The sequence below is a fragment of the Homo sapiens genome, chromosome 20, assembly GCF_000001405.40.
Source record: "Homo sapiens chromosome 20, GRCh38.p14 Primary Assembly".
Lineage (NCBI taxonomy): Eukaryota > Metazoa > Chordata > Mammalia > Primates > Hominidae > Homo > Homo sapiens.
In genome coordinates, this window is record NC_000020.11 from 3180518 (window position 1) to 3190349 (window position 9832).

General features: G+C 46.1%; 1 annotated feature.

Moving 5' to 3' along the window:
- Window positions 2172-2339: a silencer, noted in NCBI's record as "fragment chr20:3163335-3163502 (GRCh37/hg19 assembly coordinates)". NCBI's record gives its function as "represses an EF-1alpha promoter that drives an FKBP-Casp9 reporter gene in an ReSE screen in K562 erythroleukemia cells {active_cell/tissue: K562}" and the evidence as "EXISTENCE:reporter gene assay evidence [ECO:0000049][PMID:32094911]".

Consider the following 9832-nt stretch of genomic DNA (forward strand, 5'->3'; position numbering starts at 1 on the left):
CCTTGAAAGGGAGCACAGTCCTTCCTTGATTTTAGCACAGAAGACCCGCACTGGACTTCTATGCTACAGAAGCAGAAGATAATAAGTTTGTGTAGTTTTTTGCCACTAAGATTCGGTCATTTGTTACAGCAGCACTAGAAAATGAATACAAATACATAATAGACACAACATTCCTTAGTTGAATGATGAATGAAATCACAAAAACCCTAGGTCTACAGATAAATAGGTAAAAGAAATATATCACTTAGGGCCGGGTACGGTGGCTCACGCTTACAATCCCAGCACTTTGGGAGGCCGAGGCAGGTGGATTACCTGAAGTCAGAAGTTCGAGACCAGGCTGGCCAACATGGCAAAACCCCGTCTCTACTAAAAATACAAAAATTAGCCAGGCGTGGTGGCACGTGCCTATAATCCCAGCTACTTGGGAGGCTGAGGCAGGAGAACCACTTGAACCCGGGAGGTGGAGGTTGTAGTGAGCCAAGATGCCACTCCACTCCAGCCTGGGTGACAGAGCGAGACTCTGTCGCAAAAAAACAGATAGATAGACAGATAGATAGACAGATAGATAGATAGATAGATAGATAGATAGATAGATAGATAGATAGATTTTTTTATATATCTATATATATATATATCACTATGAATCCAGATAGCCAATAAGTAGTTGAAAACATCTATATCCTCGCTGATACTGAAGAGATGCAGATCAAAACCTATCAAATTAGGAAAGACTATTGCAATCCTTTGGGGTCCTACCCACCAAGTTGTCCAGAAGGGGATCTGGGTTTACCTCTCTGAGATGACTGCTTGCAGTTACCTCTGAACAGCAAATTAGGGGGCAGACAAGGCACTTTAATTCATGCTAAAGTTCGAATGTTTGTACTAAAGCCTTTTATAGCTATGCTTACTTTATGAGGAAATGAAAACTTCTGGAATTGGGCCAAAAATTCCTGGGAATTACCAGTAAAGGTCTTGGGGGTTATCTAAACCAATATAAAAGTAACTGAAATGATTATAATCCAAGAATGCTGGGGTCTTTTATTACCGTTTGATAAGCTGATGTGTTTTTTGTTTGTTTGTTTTTTTGAGACAGAGTGTCACCCTGTCACCCAGGCTGAAGTGCAGCGGCACGATCTCGGCTCACTGCAACCTCTGCCTCTTGGGTTCAAGTGATTCTCCCGCCTCAGCCTCCCGAGTAGCTGGGATTACAGGCACCCCCCACCATGCCTGGCTAACTTTTGTATTTTTGTAGAGATGGGGTTTCACCATGTTGGCCAGGCTGGTCTTAAACTCCTGACCTCAGGTGATCCACCCACCTTGGCCTCCCAAAGTGCTGGGATTACAGGCATGAGCCACCGCACCCAGCCGAGCTGATGTTTATACACACACACACACACATGGTCCATGAAAAATAAAATTTAAGGCTGAGTGTGGTGGCTCATGCCTATAATCCCAGCACTTTGGGAGGCTGAGGCGGGTGGATCACCTGAGGCCAGGAGTTTGAGACCAGGCTGGCCAACATGGTGAAACCCCGTCTCTACTAAAAAAAAAAATACAAAAATTAGCCAGGCGTGGTGGCAGGCGCCTGTAATCCCAGCTACTCGGGAGGCTGAGGCGGGAGAATCACTTGAACCCAGGAGGCAGAGGTTGCAGTAAGCTGAGATCGTGCCATTGCACTCCAGCCTGAGAGACAGAGTGAGACTCCATCTCAAAAAATGAAAAATAAATAAATAAATAAATATAAAAGTTAAAGGAAAAATATACAAAAAATTAAAAACTGTATTCTCTTTCTTAAAACTATTCTTTACTAATTGCACATTTTACCTAAGATAGAAAATGGTTTATGTTTTTCCTGTGTTCCACAGGGTCCCCCTGTAACATCTGATTCTGTTTTTATATAATTGATGCATTGTTTATATGATACTAAGGGACTCATCTGTACCTATACCCTGTAAGCCTCATTTCAAGATATTTAGATACAAAGCGAAAAGGAACACAAGTCACCACTTCAAGTGAGTGCCTCTGCATCATACATGTACATGTGAAACATGTAGGTCCTTTTTTTTTTTTTGGTTAGATGGGGTCTCACTCTGTTGCCCAGGCTGGAGTACAGTGGCGCAATCACGGCTCACTGCAACCTCCACCTCCCAGGCTCAAGTGATTCTCCCACCTCAGCTTCCTGTAGCTGGGACTACAGGTGCACACCACCACGCCTGGCTAATTTCTTTTTTTTGGTATAGATGGGGTTTCACCATGTTGCCCAGGCTGATCTTAAACTCTGGGGCTCAAGTGATCCACCTGCCTCGGCCTCCCAAAGTGCTGGGATTATAGGCATGAGCCACTGTGCCTGAGGCGGGAGGATCATGCTGAAACTCCATCTCTACAAAAATACAAAAATTGGTCGGGCGTGGTGGCTCACACCTGTAATCCCAGCACTTTCGGAGGCTGAGACGGGAGGATCACTTGAGGTCGTGAGTTCGAGACCAGCATGACCAACATGGTGAAACCATGTCTCTATTGAAAATACAAAAAAATTAGCCAGGCATAGTGGCACACGCCTGTAATCCCAGCTACTTGGGAGGCTGAGGCAGGAGAATCACTTGAATCCAGGAGGTGAACGTTGCAGTGAGCTGAGATCACGCCATTGCACTCCAGCCTGGGCAACAAAAGCGAGACTCTGTCTCAAAAAAAAAAAAAACCCCACAAAAATTAGCCAGGCATGATGGCAGGTGCCTGTAATCCCAGCTACTCGGGACACTGAGGCAGAAGAATTGCTTGAACCCAGGAGGTGGAGGTTGCAGCGAGCCGAGATGGCACCACTGTCCAGCCTAGGTGACAGAGCGAAAGTCCATCTCAAAAAAAAAAAAAAAAAAAAAGACAACTGCCCAACTAGACGGCAAGCACATGTCCGCACAACTACACTATTATGTGAACAACACAGGGAACCGTGGAGTTTAGCTCAACAAGGTGACTTGACTTACCTTGCTGAGAAACAGCTAAAGGGAAATCTCTTACAGCAATTGAGGAATTAAGTCTCAGTTACTCAGTTCTGAACAGTTAGAACATTAAGAGTTTTAGTTTTATTATATTATAGATGTGTTTTTGTGTCATATGGTAGAAATGTAAATAGTAAATGTAAAATAGAAAGTTAAAATGACTAAAAAACCAGTCAGCGTAAATCTACCAAGCTATACGCAAAAGGTTATATTTAAATAAGTTTAATGTTACAGTATTGGTATTTGGTAGGTTTTCTTATAAGGTTCCCTTATCCATTTTGCTGTAATTAACAATCGGATAATGTATTAGCCAGCCAAAAATTATGTATGCTGTCAGGATAAATCAAGTCAAAATGTTTTTCAATGTCACTACAGAAATTGTTTTTGGTTCAACTATATGACTATCAAAGGTTATGTACAACGCACAACTCTACCCAGATACTCATCCTTGCACTGTTCTAAATAAAGGAAACAAGACTCTTCAGTACTCTGTTTTTCAAACTGTAGGTCAAGATCTGTTAGTGAGTTGTAAAATCAATTTAGTCACCATTGGCAATAAAATAGAATAGAGAGGCAAGTATCAACATGCATCAAACCAAAAGGATTGTACTGTGAAACGCCTGCTTCATGGATCTATATGCATACATGCACACATAAGAAAATGGATTTCTTACTAAGAGATACTGTTAAAAGAGTCTGAAAACACAGCCTTAGTGGAATAGCTGTCTCTAATCTTGGGGCTGAGGCATGCACGCATGAAGACTTGAGGGATATTCTCAAATAGTCCAGTGGCTTGTGGAGGGAGAAGTTGATGGTATAATGACAATTTGTGGGATAAAGTGATGTAAAGGTTTAAGAAATGAGTTAACAGATTCAAAACACTAAGTAAATAAACATTCCCACTTCTTCCCCACCCAGACTTAACAAACATAGCTCAGATCTCTGGGCTCAGACCTTCCCAGCCAGGTCCCAGCCTCCTTTTCCAGCTTTGTCTCTCATTTGCCCTGGCCTTTCCTCCACCCAACACTCCATGCTCCCCTCAGGGAACCACAGGCCTTATTCTCCACTCCAGATCTCTGCACCTGTCCTCCTTCTAGCCTGGAAGGCCTCTCCTATTATCCACTGGTCCCTTTCATACACTCCAGCATCTGGCTGTGCACTTGCTAGCTTGTGATTGATTGGTCTCTCTGTCAGATTAATACCACTGCACTGGCCGGGCGCGGTGGCTCAAGCCTGTAATCCCAGCACTTAGGGAGGCCAAGGCGGGTGGATCATGAGGTCAGGAGATCAAGACCATCCTGGCTAACACGGTGAAACCCCGTCTCTACTAAAAATACAAAAATATTAGCCGGGCGTGGTGGCGGACGCCTGTGGTCCCAGCTACTCGGGAGGCTGAGGCAGGAGAATGGCGTGAACCCAGGAGGCGGAGCTTTCAGTGAGCTGAGATTGCACCACTGCACTCCAGCCTGGGCGACAGAGCGAGACTCTGTCTCAAAGAAAAAAAAAAATACCACTGCACTAACCCCTACTTGTGGCTGGGGCCATGTTTTGCTCACTGTACTTCCCTAGGGTGTTCAAAATCATGCCTTGTACTCAGTAAGCTCCCCATAAATTACGTTATTTTTTAACAACATATTTCAGATGTGTTTAAATACTTTTCTGTTACAAAGATTCAATACAGGCTGGGTGCAGTGGTACACGGCTATAATCCCAGTGCTTTGCGAGGCCAAGGTAGGAGGATCACTTGAGCCCAGGAGTTCGAGACTACCATGAGCAACATAGTGAGATCCCGTCTCTACCAAAAAGAGAAAAAATATATATATATATTAGCTGGGCATGGTGGAGTGCTCCTGTAGTCCTAGCTACTAGAAAGGCTGAGGTGGGAGGATCACTTGAGCCCAGAAGTTTGAGGCAGCAGTGAGCCATGATCACACCACTGTACTCCAGCCTGGGCAAGAGTGAGACTCTGTCTCAAAAAACAAAAATCCAACATGCATCCAGTATCAGTATCACTGTGGTAGCCTGGGGGAATCACTGAACTGCCACCATATTACCGGTGGCTTCACATAACCCAGCTACTTTAGCTCCACATAACCCAGCTATTTTAGCTCCTTTTCTTGAGGTTTAGCATGAGCCAAGGATACACAAGGCCATCTAGGACTCTTTATGTTTTGTTATAGAAAAGTTTAAACATGTAGGAAAATAGATGGCTGGGTGCAGTGGCTCATGCCTGTAATCCCAACACTTTGGGAGGCCAAGATAGGTGGATTGCTTGAGCTCATGAGTTCGAGACCAGCCTAGGCAACATGGCAAAACCCCATCTCTACAAAAAGTTAAAAAATTAGCCGGGCATGGTGGTGCACACCTGTAAGTCCCAGCTACTCAGGAGGCTGAGGTGAGAGGATGGCTTGAGCCTGGGAGGCAGAGGTGCAGTGACCTGACATCGTGCCACTGTACTCCAGCCTGGGCAACAGAGCTAGATCTTATCCTAAAAACAAAAACAAGGCCAGGCGCGGTGGCTCATGCCTGTAATCCCAGCACTTTGGGAGGCCGAGGCGGGTGGATCATGAGGTCAGGAGATTGAGACCATCCTGGCTAACACAGTGACACCGCGTCTCTACTAAAAATATAAAAAATTAGCCGAGCGTGGTGGTGGGCGCCTGTAGTCCCAGCTACGCAGAAGACTGAGGCAGGAGAATGGCATGAACTTGGGAGACGGAGCTTGCAGTGAGCCGAGATCACGCCACTGCACTCCAGCCTGGGCAACAGAGCAAGACTCTGTCTCAAAAAAACAAACAAAAAAACCAGAAAGAAGAAAGAAAATGAGCACAACCTCCATGTACCCATTCCCAGTTTTTCAGTAATTTTCAGCTCATGGTTAATCTTGTAAATAACTATTTTTTGAAAAATTGTGTAATATAACTCCAATCTAGAACTTGTCAATAATAAGCCTTGAAGATCCACAAGAAAGAGAAGTTACTGGACTCTATAGGGCGCAAGTAGTATCACAATAGACCTGTGTAGGGCTGGGCTGTGAAGATAAGGCACCCAGGACAAGCACTGCTTGAGAGTTACAAAAATCAAAATGTATCTGATTGGTTGGAGCCAAGAGTCAAGGGTTCCAAAATCTAACTATGAAAAAGGGACCACCAGGCTGGGCACGGTGGCTCGTGCCTGTAGTCCCAGCACTTTGGGAGGCCAACATGGTGAAACCCCGTCTCTACTAAAAATACAAAAATTAGCCGGGCATGGTGGCATGTGCCTGTAGTCCCAGCTACTTGGAAGGCTGAGGCAGAATCGCTTGAACCCTGGAGGCGGAGGTTGCAGTGAGCTGAGATCGCGCCACTGCACTCCAGCTTGAGTGACAGAGTGAGACTGTCTCAAAAAAATAACAATACTAATAAAAAAAGAAAAGAAAAAGGGACTACCCAACAAGTAAAAGACTCAGGTAGAATTCCAATGAAGTTGGCTGGGCGTGGTGGCTCATGGCTGTAATCCCAGCACTTTAGGAGGCCAAGGCGGGTGGATCATGAGGTCAGGAGTTCAAGACCAGCCTGGCCAACATAGTGAAACCCCATCTCTACTAAAAATACAAAAAATTAGCAGGGCGTGGTGGTGGGCACATGTAATCCCAGCTACTTGGGAGGCTGAGGCAGGAGAATCGCTTGAACCCGGGAGGTGGAGGTTGCAGTGAGCCGAGATCACGCCATTGCATTCCAGCCTGGGCGACAGTGCGAGGCTGTCTCAAAAAAATAAAAATAAAATAAATAAAAATTGGCCGGGCGCGGTGGCTCACACCTGTAATCCCAGCACTTTGGGAGGCAGAGGCGGGCAGATCACGAGGTCAGGAGATCGAGACCATCCTGGCTAACACAGTGAAACCCCGTCTCTACTAAAAATACAAAAAATTAGCCAGGTGTGGTGGCGGGCGCCTGTAGTCCCAGCTACTTGGGAGGCTGAGGCAGGAGAATGGCGTGAACCTGGGAGGCGGAGCTTGCAGTGAGCCAAGATTGTGCCACTGCACTCCAGCCTGGGTGACAGAGCAAGACTCCATCTCAAAAAAAATAAATAAAAAATAAATAAATAAATAAGTAAAAATGAAAAAGAATTACAATGAAGTCTTGAGTCCTTGGTTCTGAATCATCATCCATCAGTCATAGCTATGTCCTCAGCTATCACGGTAACCCTGGCGCTCCAGAGTAAGTGAAAACTACCCTCAGACAAAAATAAAAATTAAAGGCCAGGTGTAGGGGTTCACGCTTATAATCCCAGCACTTTGGGAGGCCAAGGTGGGCGGATCACCTGAGGTCAGGAGTTTGAGACCAACCTGGCAACCATGGCAAAATCCTGTCTCTACTAAAAATACAAAAAATTAGCCAGGCATGGTGGAGGGCGCCAGTAATTCCAGCTATTCAGGAGGCTGAGGCAGGAGAATCACTTGAACTCGGGAAGTGGAGGTTTCAGTGAGCTGAGATTGCGCCACTGCACCCCTGCCTGGGCGACAGAGCGAGATTCCCTCTCTAAATAAGTGAATCAATAAAATTTAATTAGAGCTAGCAAGGCTGGGCACAGTGGCTCATGCCTGTAATGCAGCACTTTGGGAGGCTGAGGCGGGGGGATCACTTGAAGTCAGGAGTTTGAGACCAGCCTGCCCAACATGGCGAAACCCCGTCTCTAGTAAAAATACAAAAATTAGCCAGGTGTGGTGGCGCATGCCTCTAATCCCAGCTATTTGGGAGGATGAGGCAGGAGAATCACTGAACGTGGGAGGTGGAGGTTGCAGTGAGCCAAGATTGCGCCAGTGCACTTCTGCCTAGGTGACAGTGAGACTCCAACTCAAGAAAAAAAAAAAAGTAGAGCTTGTGAAGTGTTTATGATCAGTTTTAGTGTCACATGTACAGATCAGTAATGTAATCATTATAATACTATGTCTGGTCTACGGCTGGGCGCGGTGGCTCACGCTTGTAATCCCAGCACTTTGGGAGGCTGAGGCAGGCAGATTGCCTGAGGTCAGGAGTTCGAGATCAGCCTGGCCAACAAAGTGAAACCCCGTCTCTACTAAAAATACAAAAATTAGCTGGGAGTGGTGGCACGCTCCTGTAATCTCAGCTACTCGGGAGGCTGAGGCAGGAGAATCGCTTGAACCTGGGTGGTGGAGGTTGTAGTAAGCCGAGATCACTACAGCCTGGGCAACAGAGCGAGACTGCCTCAAAAAAAAAAAAAAGCATTAAATTTCATTTTATTTTCATTTTTCCCTTTATTTTTTCATTTTTTAGTTGTGAAAGTAGTTCGTATATATTTAGAAAAATGTTTACTTTTAATAAACTATTCATTTAATAAATGTATTAACTGAGCACTAAATAATGCTCAAAGGATCATAGATTTTTTTCCTCCACACTAAGCCCATGGGACATGAAGAATATCTGGGTGCTTCCAGGATATAAGGAAGGAATGTGCCTTTTCCCACTCCTGGCCTTTGGGTACTGTCCTGAGCATGGGATGCTGGGGCAGGGGCTGCCTTGGCCATCTTGCCATCTGCATGGCAGTGGCAGAGGATAGCTGAGGGAAAGGACTAGAGAGCCCTGGAGCTGCCGCCTTGCTCTGTGAGAAGCCCCTTCCAATGGAGATTTGAATTACTTGCAACTTGTTGGCCTGCCTCTCCACCCCACCCCCATCTGTTCCCTAGCTCTCAACTTTGGCTGCACACTGGAATCTCCTACTCATGCTCCCTGACTATGCCCTCACAGATTCTGATTTGACTGGTCCTGGGTGCAACGGGGCTGGCATGAGACGACTAAAAACTCCCCAGGTGAATCCAATGAGCAACCAGGCTAAGGACCAGTGATCTAACTGTAAGTCATTCTCTTCTTTTCCCTTTGTAATTTTATGTTTCCACCTCATACTGTGGTTGGCTACATCTGTTTCTTCCCTCTCCTACTAGAATGTAGGCTCCAGATGGCCTTCCAAACAATACATGTGGCCCTTCACGCTCCAGGTGATGACAAGTACCCGTTGCTGATGGAAGTAGCAGAGTCATACCTTTCTTGGAATTTAGGTTCTACAGTCAATGCTTATGGCACCCAATGAGTCAAAAACACCCTTGGCAACTCCTAAGGAAGGCTCTGCCCTGGAACCTGATGTACTGTTTCCCCATCACCATCCAGGGAGAGTTTCCTCCTGGGCCGGAACAGAAAGCTGCCTCCTCCATCAGGCACCAGAGGAAGTAGGGGGCTTCTGTTTAGGGACCACTTTGCATAAATACACATTTAAACATGTGCCTCACCCTCAGCACAGCAGGATGCTCACGCCATGAACAGCCAACAGGAACCAGAGTGACCGACCCTCCAGGAGGTACACACCTCCCTCCCATCCCACCCACTTCTGAGCATATGGTTCTCACATCCACCAGTGGGTGGAATCACCCACACCATTTAAACTTTTTGTCAAGGATGTAGAGCTGAATTCATGTGATTTCCCACATGAGCAATGTCCCTCCCTCCACTGCACAATTATAGCCAGCTCAAGCAGGTCCTCTCCTTCCTTCTACCTGCCCTGCAAATGGCTCTCTCCTTCACTGACCCCCCGCCCTCCTTCTTAAAGGCTGATGCTCCCTAGGACTCTATCCTTGATGCTTCTCATTAATTCTTCTCCCCGCTGGCTCTCAGCCCTACTTAGGGCTCCTGATCAGTTAAAAAAGACCCATGAGACCTCCCCTCCCCAGTTAACAGAGATGTGGCCCAAGAGGCTCCCCACTTCTAATTTGAGTGGGGGCAAAAGAAGAGAAAGATCTTATCTAGGTCTTGGGGGCAGGGCTTGCAGGGCACAAAGAAACAGAG